This window comes from Homo sapiens, chromosome 1 (genome assembly GCF_000001405.40).
Source record: "Homo sapiens chromosome 1, GRCh38.p14 Primary Assembly".
Classification (NCBI taxonomy): Eukaryota; Metazoa; Chordata; class Mammalia; order Primates; family Hominidae; genus Homo; species Homo sapiens.
The window spans coordinates 76,150,354-76,170,553 of NC_000001.11; the positions used below are offsets into that span (position 1 = coordinate 76,150,354).

The 20,200-nt window shown below is 41.5% G+C and overlaps 1 protein-coding gene across 12 annotated transcripts in view, besides 1 other annotated feature; it reads left to right on the forward strand.

Moving 5' to 3' along the window:
• ST6GALNAC3 (ST6 N-acetylgalactosaminide alpha-2,6-sialyltransferase 3) overlaps positions 1–20,200 on the forward strand; it is a 562,594-nt gene that overhangs the window by 75,608 nt on the left and 466,786 nt on the right. The window lies entirely within an intron of this gene.
• Positions 3,928–4,037: a silencer, noted in NCBI's record as "silent region_1000". NCBI's record gives its function as "represses an Ori minimal core promoter by ATAC-STARR-seq in GM12878 lymphoblastoid cells {active_cell/tissue: GM12878}" and the evidence as "EXISTENCE:reporter gene assay evidence [ECO:0000049][PMID:35858748]".

The following is a 20,200-nucleotide window of genomic DNA, read 5'->3' on the forward strand; positions in this document are numbered from 1 at the left end:
GTGTCAAGTAAAGCCAGTAGGGATGAATCAGGTTCACTGTTCTTTTGGAGATGTGAAATCCATGAATGGGGCTAGGTTTCATTATGTCTCCCTCTGGGTAGACCCAATTCCCTCCTAATTGCCTTTTTCCTGTTGATCATTCACATCTTCTGCCTTGGAATTTCTTTGAAGTTTTATCATGTTCTCCCTTCATCATGTCCTTCCCTTTGTGACTTCAGATTTTCTGTGGGTAGCTGTAATTTCCTGCAGAACAGTGTCTACTAGATTCCCTCTGAGCATGGCTGGTGCAGTGGTAGGATTCTGTGAAACGTTGTCAGATGTGTGAGTGTGCAGATTGATAAAACAGCGTACACTCCCTGCTTCGTTCCCACCTCTGTTTTATGTGGATGATGACAATTACAGCACAGCACCTCATATCGGTGCAGAGATTTCTCCTGCTGTGATCTAATGGTGGTCTGTGTGCATGTGGACTGGGAACCAGAAGGTGGCTTTTTCTAGGAGATCTTGGCTGCAGGCAAGCCTATTTCTGCCAAGCTAGGGATTGTCCGGGTCTTGATAGAGCTAGCTGTTTTGTACCATTGTTAGTAGCCAGGCTGTAATTCTGACATTTCAACTACTTGGACTCTGAAAAGGTGTGGTTGGGCCCCAGATCATCAGCCAAGTCTTCCACTCAGCCTGCTTCATGACCTGACATGCTTAGCATTTGGGCCCCTTTCCAAGAGTGAAGTAACACACTGATGGGGAGACAAGAAAGTGAAATAGTGGCCCCTTGGTTCTCACGGGGAAGAGGGGAGATGTGTTCAGGCCTCCCCTTCCTCCGCCTTCATTGGTGGTTCCTAGGTGAGAATCACTGGGAATCAGGAGGATCTATCAGAACTGGGAATCAGGAGGAACCTTCAGATGTTGTGGGCAAACAGGGGGGCAAGGGGTGACGTTAAAACTAGGCTTTGTCACTTTCAAAAGTCTGCATTACAGTCAGCCATGGAGAAAACGGCCTACTTTCTACATCACAGGCGTGGCTTAAAGATATAAGGCCAGGCCATTTGAAAAGGTTTAGTCCCTCGTAGAAAGGCATACAAATCACCCCTCCTAGTTTGGGTTCCCACAGAGGCAGGATTCCAGTGTACATAGTTTATGTGGGAGATGATCCCAGGAAACTTGGGAAGGGGAGTGGGGAATGAGAAGGGGAGGAAGGAAGCCAATAAAGGATGTGCTATCAAGCTCGCCATCACTGTGGACAGCTGCAGCTCAGTTCCACTGGGAACGTCTGGGAAAGAGTGTAGCACAGGTGCCTCTGAGTGATCACACCTGAGAGGGGAGGTTCTGCTGGCCAGAGAACCTCTGGTAAGGAGGTGCAGGGGCTGGCAGTTGGTCAGGCCCATGGGCACTGTTACAATGAAGGCTGAGGGAAAACGGGTGGGGCATCGATTGCTTTGCTGCAGGTCCCATCCCGGATTCACCTTCCCAGGGATGCTAGATGGGAGTCTAGACATTGTCTCTACAGAGGATGAATCTGGAATTCAGAAAGATGATGGAGGCCCACTGTGGAGAAGCCGGTTCTTGAGAGTTGGGTGAGAATCCAGGCTTCCTGACTCTTGCTGCAGTGCCCTTTCCACTTGGCTACTTAAGGCAGAAATTTAAATTTGTGATGACTTTTGAGGCATACTGTACCTGATTCATGGAACAATATTGTCCTTCCCACCATGGGCTCTTTAGTCTTTCTTGGAGTGAAAAATTGTCAAAAGATTAAATCCTATTTGGGAGCCAGAGAAAAAGCAAAAGAATGGCTGAGCGTGTAAATAAAGTCTCCTAGGAAGATCATATTTTTGAAGGTATTTATTATTCATATCTTTTTGTCATTGTCGTGTTGTAAGTGTTTACCTGGGCTTCTAGCTTTTTGCTTTTCCAAGGACACTGCTGATCCATCCTAGAAGAAGCTGACAGCCACCACCTTGACACTGGCTTATTGCTGTCCAGGTTATTTAAGATGCGGAGGAAATCTTATCACAGAGAAGCAGCTTCTAAACATGTCCTGCCAGGTGGGTGATGAGGTAAAGACTGCCCAGGCGGCCTTGTGCACACCACATACTTGTGGAGCCACTTTGATGAAAGGGTCTGGATTATTTGCAAAGTCTTGTGCTAGGTGAAGGTGGGCTCTTTCTTAAATTCTGAAATGCCCACGAGTCTTTGGTAATGTTCATAGTGAAGCATCTGAGCTGAGCCTGAGGCTTCCCAGGAGGCTGTGCCAAGGACAAAACACACTGAGGATGTTGACCATGGCCTCCTGACAGAATGAAAGGCCCCCACAGTTTCAATTTAAACCGTAAACATTTAAATAGAAAATGAAGTGCTGGTGTATGACTCTGAACTTGTGAGACTAGCTGAAAACACCATTTTGACCGTTGGGCAGAGATTTCCCATCATGGGATCAGCCATAGACCATATCCACTGGGAACATGGAGAAAAGGTTTAGAGGTTCCACCAACATTTTCCTTAATTCTTAGATGCCTTTTGGTGGTTGAATTCTGTCCTTATTTTCTTATTTCCTGAAGCCCAAAATATAAGCTCTATAATGTGGTCATTCATAAACCTTTAGGGATATTCCTATTGGAAAATGTTGTGCAAGTCTTATTTTAGAGTTCCCAGAAGGGAATTACCGGACCTTAAGATATGCACGTTTTGAAGATATTGGATACAACTGGTCTCCAGAAGTGGGAAGACCATTTTTGCTCCTTTTAATAGTGGTGTCTGGTGTCTCTTTCCTCAGATATTCAGTAATGGATATGTCATGCTTTTTCATTTTGCCCTTCTGATAGGTGGAAAATGACGTAACATCCTTAATTTAAGTTACATTTTTTGGATGCCATTGTGAATTTTTTTTCCCCTATAGCTATTGCCTATTTGCATACCCTCTGAAGTTGCCCGTTCTTGAAGGACACTGATAATGTTCTCCTCCCCTGCCCTTTCCTTTTTGTTGCCAGAATAACCTAATCTAAACCAGAAACTCCATCTTTTCTTCCCCAGGGCTCCTATAGACCCATAGGCGGCTAGAGTGTACCTGTGAGCCTCTGGGGAGATGTCTCACCGCCAGAGAGCTGTCCCCAACTCAGGACCTCACCTGCCTGTGCGTGCGAAATTACACCTGAGATGGAGTGGCTGTGTCCAGCTAACAAAGCCGTTTGGGGAGGGGATTTCAAGCATGGCTATTCCTTGTTCACTTTAATAAAACATGGCATGAATTCAGGCAAAGGGACTTACTCCTTACTCCCTCACCTCAGATTTTTCTGTGTTTTGCTGTTGGTATAACTTGTCCTGTGTTGCTAAGTTTTAAACATATCTATATTTTGTTTAAAACACTAACCATGGCTTTGTTTGAGTGGCTTATTTTTATGTCCTAAGGAGTTGACCTAGACAGGGAACAGTTAGTCATATTCTGTTTCAGGCCAATGCCTCTGAGCCCCTTCCCTTCTCGTTTTTCTCTGTCTGAAATGATGCTCTTGGCTGGCCCCATTTTGCTGTTTGTCCAAACGGGCGCCCCTCAGCAATGGGCAACTTTCTCCATTTTGGTGTCTTATCTAAGACCTTGCCCACTGGCTTAAAGAGTTGGCTTGGGTTCCGTCACAGTGATGAGTTGCCTGTCCCGCCGTCTGTAGTCGGGAGGGCTTTTTCCGTGATGAGAATGAGCTGCAAACTCAGGCAAACACTGATCAGGAGAGACATGAAACCCAACCTGGCCCAGTCGGCTTAAAAATAGTCCAGTCATTTCACCCCTGGAATTTTCTCTTGCTTATGTGGGTGGACAATTCTCTTGGAACACCACCAAGATCATGAGGAGGAGAAAACAGAGCAGGCACCAACCACATGAATCCAACCCAGGCTGACCCCGTAGCCGGTGGTGCATTGGCCCTCACAGGTTTGCACCCTGCATGCAGGGCCCTTTCTCCCCCACGAGAGGGCGCTCTCGTCACTCTTAAAGCAATCGTACTGGGGAACACTCAGGTTGTTTCTTAGTGAAGTCCCCGAAGAGCACTGCATTTAAGCTGCTACTTTGTGTCTCAGCTTCTACTTTCAAGGTTTGTTATGAATGTAAAGACATTCTCCAACTCAAGCAAGTGTGGGCAATATTAGTGTCTGGAAACGCCTGTTGCAAATGAAGCACAGCCACTGCTTGTTTGTGTTTCGTTAGTGAAACGTGATTGTAACCCAGGGTTTTTGACGCTCACAGAAGCATCCGCCTTGGTAATGCTGTACATCCAGGCTGCTCTTCTTTGTCCCTAACCTGGTTGCAATGTGGCCGTAGCATGCTTGTGTTGACATCTGACAGGAGATGAGGACTTGACTTCCTGGGCTGATCTTGCTTATTTTGGGGAGAGCAGGAGTGCCCGTGGTTAGTGTGGATCAGCCTGACAGGAGATTTTCTATTGAGGGAGGATTTAAGACTGCATGCAGGCAAGGGAAATACAAGCCATATTTCACCAGCTCAATACACCAGGGAGCGCTACCATTTAACGAAAACCACCATTCTGACTTCCGGGTTTTTAGGTCATCTGGCAGCCACTGGGTGGGGTCAGTTTCTTGGCCCTTGATTAGAAGTTCCTTCTGATTACAAAACACCTCTTGATTGAAATCTTTGCATTTTCTTTGCATTTGCATTTCCACCAATCTTTTTATTTTTTATTTTTTTTGCCTTGGAGGATGTGTGTATGTGAGGGTGACCTTCTCTTTATTTGTGGGAATCGGGGAGTGCCCTCCTCCCTACAAAGTCACTATAAAGCTACGGGCTTTGCTGCCCTTGGTACAGGGTCTAGAAGTGGTTGTTGGGTGGTGACCAGCACAGTGACAGTTTATTTCCTGGACCTTTGAACCTAAATTCCCACAGGAAGAACATAAAGGACTCAGCAAATCTTGCCCCCCGACCCCCGTCTCCTCCATGCGCCTACACTGGAGCCATGAGTACTACTGCTACCGTCACTACAGCCAAATTATTATAGAGAATTACTATGTGCCAGGCATGGGTAATTTTTGGTTGTTTTAATCAACTTTGTTTCAAACAGCTTTAGATTTGCAGAAAAACTATGAATATAGCAAGAGTTCCCCCACTTTCTCCTTTTTTTATTTATTTTATTTTATTTTTTTGAGACGGAGTCTCTGTCGTCCAGGCTGGAGTGCGGTGGCGCAATCTCGGCTCACTGCAAGCTCCGCCTCCCGGGTTCATGCCATTCTCCTGCCTCAGCCTCCCGAATAGCTGGGACGACAGGCGCCCGCCACTACGCCTGGCTAATTTTTTTTTTTTTTTAATATTTTTAGTAGAGACAGGGTTTCACCGTGTTAGCTAGGATGGTCTCGATCTCCTGACCTCGTGATCCACCTGCCTTGGCCTCCCAAAGTGCTGGGATTACAGGTGTGAGCCACCGCGCCCGGCCTCCTATTTTTAACATATAGTTTCTCCTGTTGTTGTTGTTTTAATCATATTAGCATAACACATTTGTTACAATTAGTGAAGGAATATTGATACATTATTATTAACTGAAGCCAATACTTTATTCGGATTTCCTTTATTTTGACCTAGTGTCCTTTTTCTGCTCCGGGAGCCTACCCAGGATACCGCCTTACCTTAGTTGTCATGTCTTCTTAAGATCCTGCTGGCGGTAGTGGTTTCTCAGACTTTAAACTTGTTTTTAATGACCTTGACAGTTTTGAGGAGTACTGCTCAGGAGTTTAGTAGAAGGTTCCTCTTTTGGAATTTGTCTAAGGTTTTCTAATAATTAGACTGGGGTTATGGGTTTTTGAGAGGAAGAAGGCAGAGAGAAAATGCCATTCTTATCACATCATATTCAGGGTACATATTATTAACATGATTTAACGTTGTAGATGTTGAACGTCATCACCTCGCTGAGACGGTGTTTGTCAGGTTTCTTCTCGTAAAGTTACTGTCCCCTCTCCTTTTTTTATACTGTACTATCACAAGAAAGTGACCACGTGTAGTCCACACTTAAGGAGGGGGAGTTATATTCCACCCTCAGAGAGCACAGTACCTATAAACATTTTTGAAATTTCTCTGCACAGAAAATTTCTCTCTTCTTCCCCATTTATTTACGTATTCAATTGTTTATTTCTATCAATATGGACTCATAGAGATTTATTCCATACTTTGAGTTATAATCAAATAGTATACTACTAGATTTTGTTTGGTTTTTTTTTTGCCTCTGGGAGCTGTTTCACGTGACTCCTGTGTCCCTTTGACACACCCCCATCATTGCGGGTTTTTGTTTTTGAGGTGTTTCTTTCTTGCTTTCTTTGTGGCACTCACTACAAGATACTCCAGGATTATCTTGTACATCTTCTGCCCTAGTCCTTGAATCAGTCATTTCTCCAAAAAGCCCTGGCCTTTTTTTTGAGACGGAGTCTCGCTCTCTCGCCCAGGCTGGAGTACAGTGGCGCGATCTTGGCTCACTGCAAGCTCCGCCTCCCGGGTTCACGCCATTCTCCTGCCTCAGCCTCCCAAGTAGCTGGGACTACAGGCGCCCGCCACCACGCCCGGCTAATTTTTTGTCTTTTTAGTACAGACGGGGTTTCACCGTGTTAGCCAGGATGGTCTCAATCTTCTGACCTCGTGATCTGCCCGCCTTGGCCTCCCAAAGTGCTGGGATTACAGGTGTAAGCCACGGCGCCCAGCCAGCCCTGGCTCCTTTTATTGGAGGGTGGTATTAGAATAGGGTCTGGGCTCCAGGTGTGCTGGTGCTTCTGGTTGCTGCTGCTTTATAAGCTCTCAGCTGACAGCAAGAAAACATGTGCATGTGAACCAATCTATAGATGCCTATCTACTGATCTACAAATATATCTGTATGTAACCATTGGTATCTGTATTATGCTAAACATGTGTTCACACTGACGTTTCCAGCTCTTAAGCTGTTACATGTCTCCAGCTCTAAGCCATTATCACGTGGATCATTCTAGCCTTCCCCCTTGCCTATCTGTAGCCTCCTACTCCAAAAATGATAAACTTGGCTCTCAGCATCTGTCATGCATTTATTTAGTTGTTCAATTCCAGTATACATATGTAGCAGTATCAAAATTGTTAACTTATACCCCCATGGAAAATAGCCTCGTCAACTAGAGTACAGTGCTTGTGTACGGTTTATTTTGCCTTAGTTTTACAGACTGCATACATTTCCAAAGCCACTTAAATAGCACCTTTTTCTTCCATCCACTTTAGTGAGGGTTGTTCACATATGTACCACAGATTGCTTTGTCACATGCTGTATTTCATTCCGGGATTACCCTGACTGCCTAAATGATTTTTTTAAAGTTTATATATGTTAAGATTTGCCCTTTGTGCTGTAAATTTCAATGGGTTTTCACAAATGCATAATATTATGTACCCACCATTACAGTAATGTACAGAATAACTATACCACCCTAAAAATTCATCTATTCACCCATTTAACTATCCTCCATACCTGGAAACCATGGATTTTAAAAAACTATCTACAGTTTTGCCTTTTCCAGAATGCCATATAATTGTAATAATATAGGATATGCTATTATGTCTCCACTTTCCACTTGAGGACTCTGACCTTAGAACTCATGATTGCCCACGGTTTCTTGGCTTGTAATTGGTGATGCTAGCGTCAACCCAAGTCTCTGATGTTAAAACAGGAACTCTGAAACTCCCCACTATGCTGCCTATTTTCCAATGAAATGGGTCCAGGAAGCCATCTGATAAATATTTTCACTAGGTTGTCAAAAATTAATAAACATGCCTCTTTCATTACCTTCGGAGGCCATCTGTGGGGTGGTTGTGAGTCAGCCTCTGCAGCCATGCTGCCAGAATTTGAATCCTACCTCCTTCACTTCTTACCCATGTGATTTGAACAGGTGGTTTTACTTTTTTTTTCTGTCTTTCCTGGCTTACTAAACAATTCTTCCTTTTTAGGAATATATGGGAGGAGGGATCTGTGCAATGCAGTTCTACACCCTGGACATAGCAACCGACTGAGTCAGGCCAATTAACTTCTCTAGCCTAGCGATTTGAAACCCAGAGCCGGGGCCCTCTGACATGAAGGCACCTTTATATCTTCAGTCTGTAGGGCAGGTCATAACACCTGCAGCCACAGTTCCTGGGGTGGCCCCAAGTCTGGATGCTTAGGGATTTATTAATTTTTTGAGCAACTCCAGTATCTTAAAAAGAATTCATCCTTCTCTTCCTTTTGTTGTTGTTCTTCTTTTATTCTTATTTTTAAAATTTAAGCGAGGTAAAATCAGCCCCTCTTGGCTACAGGTACTTTAATTACTACAGGAGATCATAGTAGCTACCTCACTGGTCATAAGGGTTAAATAAGATAATGTATAAGACAGTTAGCACAGGGAATGAGGGAATTGTCAGGGAATAAGTACCTGGTAATTAGTAGCTTTTACTATTATCTAATAATAGTTCTTGATATTTACTTAGTGCTTTGTAATGTGAACCATACACTCCTGTGTGCTTATCTCCTTGACAATTGGGTGGAAATGGCATCCACATTTTATGGATGAGCAAATGGCCATGCTTTGGGGTTTGCCCAGGGTCACAAAGCTGGCAAGGGACTGAGCCAGGATCCCCACTCAGGCCCTTCGTCATGTCATGTATCCAGGGTTCTCTCCAATGTGCCAGGGTCGTGTGGTTTCCTGGGGGTGTGATGGAGAGGGAGGCAGTTTCCCTTTCCCATTTTAGGGACAAGAGTGGAGATGGGAAAGTACTTTCCTGGGGACAGAGGATGGAGGTGAAGGTGGTGGATTTCTTTAGTTATGGGGAGTTAAGTTGGGAATGTTAGGCCTCTAGTCCTTTCCTTTTCTCTTTTCTTTTCTTTTTTTGAGACAGAGTCTTGCTCTGTCAGCCAGGCTGGAGTGCAGTGGCACGATCTTGGCTCACCACAATCTCTGCCTCCCAGGTTCAAGAGATTCTCATGCCTCAGCCTCCCAAGTGGCTGGAATTACAGGCATATGTCACTGGCTAATTTTTTGTATTTTTAGTAGAGACAGAGTTTCACCATGTTGACCAGGCTGGTCTCGAACTCCTAGCCTCAAGTGATCTGCCTGCCTCGGCTTTCCAAAGTGCTGTTGTTACAGGCATGAGCCACCGCACCCGGTCTGGGCCCTGAGTCAGTTTCTGACCTGCCTTCTGAGCTCTGCATGGTGCCTGGGGTCAGCCTGCTTCTGGCTTCACCACTCTCTGTTCTACTGCATTTATTGTGCAAACAGTTGATTGAATGCCTGTTTATGTGCCAAACACTGTGTTAGGGAAGATGAAAGGATAGATGAGACCCATTAAGGTCTGCCCTTTAAAAGCTTGTAATATGTTGGAGAAACCAGACATGAAAACAACTAAGTATAACACAACATAATGTCTGAAAGATAAAAACAAGTGTTTTCAGAACACAATAATTCACAGAATACCTACACATGCCATAAACTGTGCTAAGGGTTTTCCATGGATTAGCTAATTTAATTTCCCCATCAACCCTACAAAGGAATTACTGTGGTTGTTCTCATTTCACAGATGGGGAAACTAAGCACAGAGATGTTAAATCACTTGCTCAATCTTTATAAAGATAGGAATTGTAGAGTTAAGTTCCAGAGCCTGCCCTGTTAATGATGGCACTAAACTGCCTTCCAGAGAAGGTCAGAATGCATAGCTCTTTGTAGGATTGTTGGTGAAACTTGCAGAGAAGGTATTTTCTGAACTGATATTCAAGGATGAGTAGGAATTTATAGGTGGATAGAAAAGGAATTGTATTCCAAGTAGAGGAAGGAATGTGAGTGGACACACAGATGGATGAAAATATATAATGTGTTCAGGGAATGGCTAGTAATCCCAGAGGTCAAGAGTGGCAGGCAGTGGTTGGCTATTACACTTAAAAGGTTAAAGCTAATGCCGTAAGCATTGGGGAGCTCTCAGAGGATTTTAAGAAGGGGAGTCTGTGTCTAGATACACTTCAAAAGGGTTCCTGTAGTAGCAGTGTGAAGGCTGGTTTGGGCATGTGTCAGAATCATTTGAAAGCCAGGAGGGCCTGCTGGAAGGCCTCGCAATAGTCTAGGTGAGATCATGCATCGGCTTTGGGATGTGGCAGTAGAAGTGCTGGCTTCTTGTGGTTTTGGGGGTTGGTGCTTCACAGAGTGAAGAAAGAGGTGTCACAAGGGTCATTAAAATCCCACTGGTGTGCCTGTTGATATAGGAGGCACCCATCTTACTCTCTAACGGTGTTCTACAAACTAGCCAGGCTGTGAACTGTTCATTACTGTTTGGGCCAAAATAAGGGGCTTGCACCAGAATATAAATCAATGCATTGCTTCCATCACGGAGAAAATCTTGGTGCACACACACACACAGTCTACTGAAGCAAAAAGTGTGCTTAGTGACAAAGTTGATTTGGATTCTAGTGCAAGCTCTTATTTCCTTGCAGCCCACAAACAACATGTGGACTTTCACCAGTCCACAACCATAAATAGAGTAATGCTGCTGTATAATCAACATATCTTACTTGCTCTATACTTCAAATATCTTCTTCTCTACAGCTGAATTTTGTAGATGAAAAATTTATTTTAAAGTTTCAACATTTTAAGAGGTTTCTTTTTACTCTACAGGCAAGCCACTTATGTAAAGGACCCATCTTTTAATTTTTGAGTTTTGGAAACTTACATGAGTACTTAACCTTGATTAATAATTGATAACTCTTTCTGTAGAGATGGGCCGGTGACCTCTTGCTACTCTCCAGCATTGTTAAGTGCTATTGCCTTTCAGACTTCAGATTCTTTCCAACCTCTAACACTTGGGCCATTATTCCTTCTCCAAGGTTCTCAGAAGTGATAGAGCACTGGAGAGGCAATGAAATCAATGATTTCTCTATCACTTGAGTGTAAAGTGTAAACTAAATTATCACTTAGCAGCCATGTTATTAAAGGGATTCAAACATTGGTAAAGTGTCTGGACTAACAGACTTTCAAGATTCTTTGCAACCCCGAGGTTTTCGATTTGTCGGAGGTACAGAACTGGTAAGCGGCAGAGAGCGGCAGCACCTAGGTTTCCTGACCCTTGCTGCTTGCTTCCCTGCCGCTCCCCTCAGTCCTTCATCAAGAGCTGCAGAACAAGTTCCACTCTCCCTGGAGGATAGGTGCTGTGGGTCTTCATTTAATGGTGGGACCTCTGGAGATTTTTCTCTCTGCTAATCACCCAAGGATGCTTTACATACTCTACTGAGATCTAAATTTATATTGCAGATGGGCCGATGCTGATGTCTTAAAGTACTTGCTGGGAAGATAATACCCAATCTCTGGAGAAAAGAGCTTTACATTTCTTTTTACTGAGGGCTGTTCTGTAATTTGGCTCTCCTAACTCTGGCTTGCCCCAACAATGAGCTACGTAATTGGCCTTAAAGGGACACCCATTGATTTGGACAGGGTCTGTACATACACCAGTTAAACACAGTGCCTCATGCTGGGTCTGTGTATTTCTACTGGGCTTTCTTTTCTAAATGTTATTTAATTCCAGAGTTTGCATTAGTGCTTCAGTCAAATATTGTCAGGCTTTGGTCAAAAACCCTTAACTGAAGATCAGGGTTGGTCATAAAAAGTTGGAAATCGACATTTGCCAATGCCAATTGGCAGACAGTTGGCACTCAAATTGGGGACAGGGCCAGGCAAAAAAAGGTCTTCAAAAACTGTGCTCCAAAATCCTCTAAAATCCACTGTGGTTGCATCATTGCCCAAACTTACAGCTTAATATGTTGGCTTTGCTGCTTAACAGCTGTGTGAATGGGCATGTTACTTAACCTCTGTATTTCTCCATCATAAGATAGACATAATAAATTTAAACCCATGGGTTATTGTGAGAATAAATAAGATAATCCATGTAAAAGATGCTCAGCCTAGTCCCTGGCATATGGCAGGTACTCAAGAAATGTTTAATTTGAATCTGTTGCATGCGCATTCTCCGTTGTAGCCAGATAAGTCTCTCTGCACCATGAAATGCCATTCTATCCCTGCCTTTATGCTTTTGTTTATGAGCAGAAGGAAAGTATGACCTAATGATTAATAACATGGCCTTTGCTGTCAGGCACACCTGGCTGAAGTTTTGTTTTCTCTGTTGCAGGACGCGGGTGAGTTAATTAGCTATTTTAAGCCCCAGTTTCTTCACCGTATAATGGGGGAATAATGGTACTGACCTTACAGTGTTGTAGTGAGGGTTTAAATGAGATAAAATTTGTGGATGCCTGGTTAAGACAATCATGAGCCAGCTTATTGAGCTCCTATTATGAGTTGGTCCTGGAGGTAGAGTGGTGAGCACACCCAGCTGGGTCTAATGGATGTATAACCATAAACAGTTACAAGCCTTAAAGTAAATATTTACAAATAATTACAAAGGGGCAATGTATGTAAGTGCCAGGTGAGCAGTTAGCAAGGGGGCCCAGCTAGGTCTAGGGGTCACATAAAACTTCTCAGTTACCTTGAATACCATACAGGATGTAGTATTAAAGGTTGACGTGAAGGACAAAGAGGAGGTGACCAGGCCCAGAGCTGGGGAAAGACTGTCCAAGGCAGGGGAATAGCATGTGTGTGGACTCAGAGACCGGAGAGCATGCGCTCTGTTTTGAAGAGCTGAGAAAAGTCCTGCGTGGGTCTTGTAGGTGTTCAATCAATGGCAACTGTCATTATTCTAGATTCCCTCTCAGGGTGCTGAATCCTAAAGCAGCTTGAGTGCCTACCTTAAGTCTTTTTCTCTTTTTAATGAAGCTTCCTTTGACTAACTCAGAACTGATTCCAATCTACTCTAAAACCTTATAGTATTTTAGTCAGTGCTATATAGATCAACACTTAGTTATATGATTTTAAAAGTTGTTCTTGAAGTTTTATGTATCTTTCCTGAGTCATCAAATTGATTGAAAATTCACTGAAGAGCCCTGATTTTGTATTATGAGTCTCCAGAGGGCTTAGCACAATGCTGAGTCCACAGTGATTAACAAATATGTAATGCTTGTTGCAGAAATATATCTTCCACCTAAAATTCTGTAGTGTACCCTGGGCAGTGTTGGGAGGGTGTACACTTGGGACCCAGATTCGACAACTTAACCATTTTCTATGTGTATAATCTTGGGCAAGTCATTCTTTTTAAGCCTCAGTTACCTTGAATAAAAAATGAGGATAGTACCATAGTTCATTTACTGTAAGACTCATTTTCTTTTCTTCACATTTTAACATCTCTAAAACTTGAATGTGTCTTACAATAAATGGCATGTTATAGTTTAATTGGCAGTATTTTTTTTCTGTGTTGGTGATTATAAAATAATGGTGTGTCTTAAATTCAGTGACATTTTAGGTTTGATGAAATAAATACAACTTTTACATTTTAGGATGGTTATGAAAATTCAAGCTAATTTACACAATTCATTTGTCCACAATTCATTTACCTGATGTTGGCATGACAGTGAAGAGGTAGCTGCAGACAATCAAAATCATTCCTGTGATCCAGTACAAGCTTTGCTAACTGCCAAAGTTAAAAACTGTTACGGCCGACATGCATGCCAGAACTCAAAAGCCACCTACCTTTAGCCTCAATTCCTCCAGATGTATTTTGCTACTTTTACACATTGTTAAGTTTTGTGGCATAATGCTTAAGATGTTGGATTTGTTGAGGAGTTCCCACCCTCCTACCCTAGTTCTAAGCCAATTGAGAAATAAGGTGAAAAACCAACAGATGAAGAATCAAAATGTCACTAAATTCTAGATTGTAGTGTGTAGCTTATATCTATGGTTAAGTGGGCTCTGTGATACTGAGCCCCAGAATTACCTGTGCATTTAGGGATATGCTGATAGGCTGCTGCTGTGAGGGTGCAAAGGAGAATGAGGATTTCTGTGGGCAGCCCATTCCAAGGAGAGAGGGAAAGAGCTGGGAGCTAGACTATACATGTCACTCACAGATCATGTAAGTCAGTCTTCAGGCCAGTAAAGAAACTCCAATAGGGCCCTGCCCAACTAAAGGGAACTTCTGGGGTGGGGCAGCACCTGGCATAGAGTAGGCTTTTAGTAGATGGTAGCTATTAGGGAAAATCATGGCAGCTTTTGAGAAGAAAAAGAAGTTATCCCAACCTTCAAAAATACTCTGTTTTTTACATTATGTACCCCTTAAGCAGACCTTTAAGGGCATGTATGTTTGTCTAGGATTCCTAAGCATTATTTTCATTAAATATTGTTAGTCCAGTGATTACTTGGTTGGTTATGCAGTTCTCAAATCAGGTGGATTTTAAAACATTAATATCTCAGCAATCTTTAAATACACTATTCAAATTATGTACTTACAGTAAGTCCATAATAATAGGGTGTTGCAAACACAGGAATTGCTATCATAATCTTAAAGATAAAAATAATTTGAGTAAATAAATTAGGAAGGGGAAAGGCTGATGTTAGTCAATGCCAAAGCTGATTTTGTAGAGCCAGAATGAAAAAAAATATGTGATTGAAAAATGTAGGCATCTATCTGCAAGACTTTCTAAAAAAAATGCAGATAGTAGTAATAAACTGCATTGCTGGAGAGAGGGGACTAAAATGTGTGTGTGTGTTTTTAAGATTTAACTTTTAAGTTCAGGGGTACATGTGCATATTTGCTATATAGGTAAACTTGTCTCAAGGGGGTTTGTTGTACAGATTATTTCATCACCCAGGTATTAAGCCTAGTATTATATAGGTAAACTTGTGTCATGGGGTTTGTTGTACAGATTGTTTTGTTGACCAGGTATTAAGCCTAGTACCTGTTAGTTATTGTTCCTGATCCTCTCCCTCCTCTCACCTTCCTTCCTCTGATAGGCCCCAGTGTATGTTGTTCCCTTCTGTGTGTCTGTGTGTTCTCATCATTTAGCTCCTATTTGTAAGTGAGAGCTTGCAGTATTTGGTTTTCTATTACTGCCTTAGTTTGCTAAGGATAATGGCCTTCAGCTTCATTCATGTCCCTGTAAAAGATATGATCTTGTTCCTTTTAATGGTTGCATAGTATTCCGTGGTATATATGTACCATGTTTTCTTTATCCAGTCTATCATTGATGAGCATTTAGGTTGATTCAATGTCTTTACAAGTGTGAACAGTGCTGTAATTAACATACATGTGCATGTGTCTTTTATAATAGAATGATTTGTATTTATTTGGATATATACCCAGTAATGAGATTACTAGGTCAAATGGTATTTCTGTTTTTAGGTCTTTGAGGAGTCACCAGTGTCTTCCACAGTGGTTGAACTAATTTACACTCCCACCAACAGTGTATAACCATTCCTTTTTCTCCACAACTTCACCAGCATCTGTTATTTTTGACTTTTTAATAATAGACATTCTGACTGGCGTGAGATGGCATCTCATTGTGGTTTTGATTTGCATTTCTCAAATAATCAGTGATGCTGAGTTTTTTTTCATATGATTATTGGCTGCATGTACATCTTCTTTTGAAAAGTGTCTGTTCATGTCCTTTGTCCACTTTCTAATGGGTTTTTTTTCTTGTACATTTGTTTGTATTTCTTATAAATGCTAGATATTAGACCTTTGTCAGATGCATAGTTTGCACAAATTTCCTCCCATTCTGTAGGTTGTCTGTTCACTTTGTTGAGAGTTTCTTTTGCTGTGCAGAAGATCTTTAGTTTAATTAGATCCTGTTTGTAAACTTTTGCTTTTCTTGTAATTGCTTTTGGTGTCTTCGTCATGAAATCTTTCCCTGTTTCTATGGCCAGAATGGTGTTGCCTAAGTTGGAGTTTTTCTAGTTTTGGGTTTTACATTTAAGTCCTTAATTCATCTTGAGTTAATTTTTGTATATGGCGGAAGGAAGGGGTCCAGTTTAAGTATTCTGCTTGTGGCTAGCCAATTATCCCAGAACAACTTACTGAATAGGGAATCCTTTCCCCATTGCTTGTTTTTGTCATGTTGAATATCAGATAGTTGTAGGTGTATGGCCTTATTTCTGGGTTCTCCAGTCTTTTTGATTGGTCTGTTTTCTCTTTTTGTACCAGTACTATGCTGTTTGGTTACTGTAGCTGTGTAGTACAGTTTGAAGTCCAGTAGCATGATGTGTCCAGCTTTGTTCATTTTGCTTAAGATTGCCTTGACTATTTGGGCTCATTTTTTGCTTCCATATGAATTTTAAAATTGTTTTCTCTAGTTCTGTGAAGAATGTCAATGCTAGTTTAACAGGAATAGCATTGAATCTATAAAATACTTTGGGCAGCATGGCCATTTTAACAATATCGATTCTTCCTATCCATGAGCATGGAATGTTTTTCCATTTATTTGTGTTATCTCTGGTTTCTTTGAGCAGTGTTTTGTAGTTCTCCTTGTAGAGATCTTTCACCTCCCTGGTTGGCTGAGTATTCTTAAGTATTTTATTATTTTTATGGCAATTGTGAGTAGGATTGCGTTGCCTATTCGGCTCTTGGCTTCACTGTTGTTGATGTACAGGAATGTTAGTGATTTTTGTGCATTTATTTTGTAACCTGAGACTTTGCTGAAGTTGTTTATCAGCTTAAGGAGCTTTTGGGCTGAGACTATTGGGTTTTATAGATATAGGATCATCTTGTCTACAAACAGGGATAGTTTGACTTCCTCTCTTCCGATTTTGATGCCCTTTTCTTCTTTCTCTTGCCTGATTGATCTGGCCAGGACCCAATACTGTTGAATAAGAGTGGTGAGAGAGGGCATCCTTGTCTTGTGCTGGTTTTCAAGGGAAATGCTTCCAGCTTTTACCCATTCATTATGGTGTTGGCTGTGGGTTTGTCATAGATGGTTCTTATTATTTTGAGGTATATTCATTTAATACCTAGTTTATCGAGAGTTTTTAACATGAAGGGATGTTGAATTTTATGGAGAGCCTTTTCTGCATCTATTGAAATAATCATGTTTTTTGTCTTTAGTTCTGTTTATATGATGGCTCACATTAATTGATTTGCATGTGTTGAACCAACCTTGCATCCCAGGGATAACAAGCCTATTTGATTGTGGTAGATAAATTTTTTGATGTGCTGCTGGATTTGGTTTGTCAGTATTTTGTAGTTGATATTCATCCAGGCTATTGGCCTGAAGATTCCTTTTGTTGTTGTTGTGTGTCTGCCAGGTTTTGGTATCAGCATGATGCTGGCCTCATAGAATGAGTAAGGGAGGAGTCACTCTACCTCAACTTTTGGGAATTGGTTCAGAAGGAATGGTACCAGCTCATCTATGTACATCTGGTGGAATTCAGCTGTGAATCCATCTGGCCCTGGGCTTTTATTGGTTGGTAGGCTATTTGTTGATTCAATTTCGGAGCTCATTATTGTCTGTTCAGGGATTCAGTTTCTTCCTGGTTCAGTCTTGGGAGGGTGTATATGTCCAGAAATGTATCAATTTCTTCTAGATTTTCTAGTTTATGTGCATAGAGGTGATCATAATATTCTCTGATGGTTGGTTGTATTTCTGTGGGGTCAGTGGTAATATTCCCCTTGCCATTTCTGATTGTGTTTATTGGAATCTTCTCTCTTTTCTTCTTTATTAGTTTAGCTAGTGGTATGTCTGTTTTATTAATTTTTATCAAAAAACAGCTCCTGGATTCATTGGTCTTTTGAATGATTTTTCATGTCTCAATTTTCTTCTGCTCAGCTCTGATTTTGGTTATTTCTTGTCTTCTGCTAGCTTTGGGATTGTTTGCTCTAGATTCTCTAGTTCTTTAGTTGTGATGTTAGGTTGTTAACTTGAGATCTTTCTAATTTTTTGATGTAGTCATTTAGTGCTATAAATTTCCTTCTTAATACTGCCTTAGTTGTGTCTCAGGGATTATGCTACATTGTATCTTTGCTCTCATTAGTTTCAAAGAACTTCTTGATTTCTGCCTTAATTAATTTTTTTACCTCAAAGCCATTTAGGAACAAGTTATTCAATTTTCATGTAATTGTATGGTTTTGAGTGAATTTCTTAGTCTTGATTTCTAATTTGATTGTGCTGTGGTCTGAGAGATTGTTATGATTTCAGTTCTTTTGCATTTGCTGAGGAGTGTTTTATTTCTGATTATGTGATCAATTTTAGAGTAAGTGCCATATGGCAATGAAAATTGTTTTTGTGTGGAGAGTTCTGTAGATGTCTATCAGATCCATTTGATCTAATGCTGAGTTCTGGTCCTGAATATCTTTGTTAATTTTCTCTCTCACTGGTCTGTCTAATATTGTCATTGGGTGTTAAAGTCTCCCACTATTATTGTGTGGGAGTCTAAGTCTCTTTGAAAGTCTCTAATAACTTGCTTTACGAATCTGAGTGTTCCTGTGTTGGGTGTATATCTATTTAGGATAGTTAGATCTTCTTGTTGAATTGAACCCTTTATCATATGTAATGCCCTTCTTTGTCTTTTTATCTTTGTTGGTTTAAAGTCTGTTTTGTCTGAAACTGAGATTGCAACTCTTGCTTTTTTCTGCTTGGTAGATTTTTCTCCATCCCTTTATTTTGAGCCTATGTGTGTCATTGCATAAGAGATGGTCTCTTGAGGACAGCATATCAATGAGTCTTGGTTTTCTAATCCAGCTTGCCACTCAGTGTCTTTTACCTGGGGCACTTAGCCCATTTACCTTTAAGGTTAATATTGATATGTGAGGATTTGACACTGTCACCATAATGTTAACTGGTTATTTTGCAGACTTGTTTATGTGATTGTTTTATAGTGTGACTGGTCTATGTACCTCAGTGTGTTTTTGTAGTGCTGGTAATGCTTTCCTTTCCATATTTAGCGTTTCCTTCATGAGCTGTTGTAAGGTAGGTCTGGTGGTAATGTATTCCCTCAGCATTTGCTTGTTTGTAAAAGATTATTTCTCCTTTGCTTATGAAGCTTAGTTAGGCTGGATATAAAATTCTGGGTTGGAATTTCTTTTCTTTAAGAATGTTGAATATTGACCCCCAATCTCTTTTGGCTTGTAGAGTTTCTGCTGAGAGGTCTGCTGTTAGTCTGATGGGCTTCCCTTTGTAGGTGGCCTGACCTTTCTCTCTAGCTACCTTTAACATTTTTCCTTTCATTTCAACCTTGGAGAATCTGATGATTATGTGCTTGGGGATGATCTTTAGTATTAGTAAAAAGAATTTTACTGGGGTTCTCTGCATTTTCTGAATTTGAATGTTGCCCTCTCTAGCTAGGTTGAGGAAGTTCTCATGCATGATGTCCTGAAATATGATTTCCAGATTGGTTGCATTTTCCCCATCTCTTTCAGGGACATGAATATGTCATAGATTTGGTCTCTTTACATAATCCCATATTTCTCAGACATTTTGTTCATTCATTTTCATTATTTTTCTCTATTCTTGTCTAACTGTCTTATTTCGGAAAGCCAGTCGTCAAGCTCTGAGATTATTTTCTTCACTTGGTCTATTCTGCTATTAATACTTGTGTTTGCATTATGAAATTCTTGTAGTGTGTTTTTCAGCTCTGTCAGGTTGGTTACTTTTTAAAATATATATATATACTGGCTGTTTTGTCTGTCAGCTCCTGCATTATTTTATCATGATTTGGAGAGGTGATGCAGTCATTTGGAGGAATGAAAGCACACTGACTTTTTGAATTTTCAGGGTTCTTGCACTGACTTCTTCTCATCTTTGTGGGTTTATCTACCTTCAATCTTTGAGGTTGCTGACCTTCAGATTTTTTTTTTATCCTATTTGATTATCTTGAGGGCTTGATTTTGGTATAAGGTGGATTCAACTGACTAGCTTCATTTCTGGAAGATTTTAGAGGGCCAACATTCAGCTCCCAACTCCTGCACTGTGTACTCTAACTCTGGGGGACTTCTATTGGGCCCCAGCTTTGTTCTTTGGCTCCCCAAGGTTAGGAATCCACTGCGGTGAAGGGGCCTGAGGTGTGGCAGCTGTGGCAGAGTGCTAGCAGGTGTCGGGGTGCCTGCCTCCATGTGGGTGTTCACCACAGTGGCAGAAACAATGCAGCTGTTGGGGGAGCTCCTGCTGGCAACTATATGTATGGTTGTGCTGGACATGGTGTTGGCTTGGGGGTGGGGTGCTGGCAGATGCAGGCCTGGGTGCCTTCTCTGTGCCCCATAAGCAGGAGTGATTGGTCAGCATGGGGGAGGACTGTTGTTCTCTGCAAAAATGTTTAAAAAAGAAATTGTTTCAAAAATCTATATAAAGCTTTGGATTCTGTAAATCCAAAATTCATTACTGGTTTATTA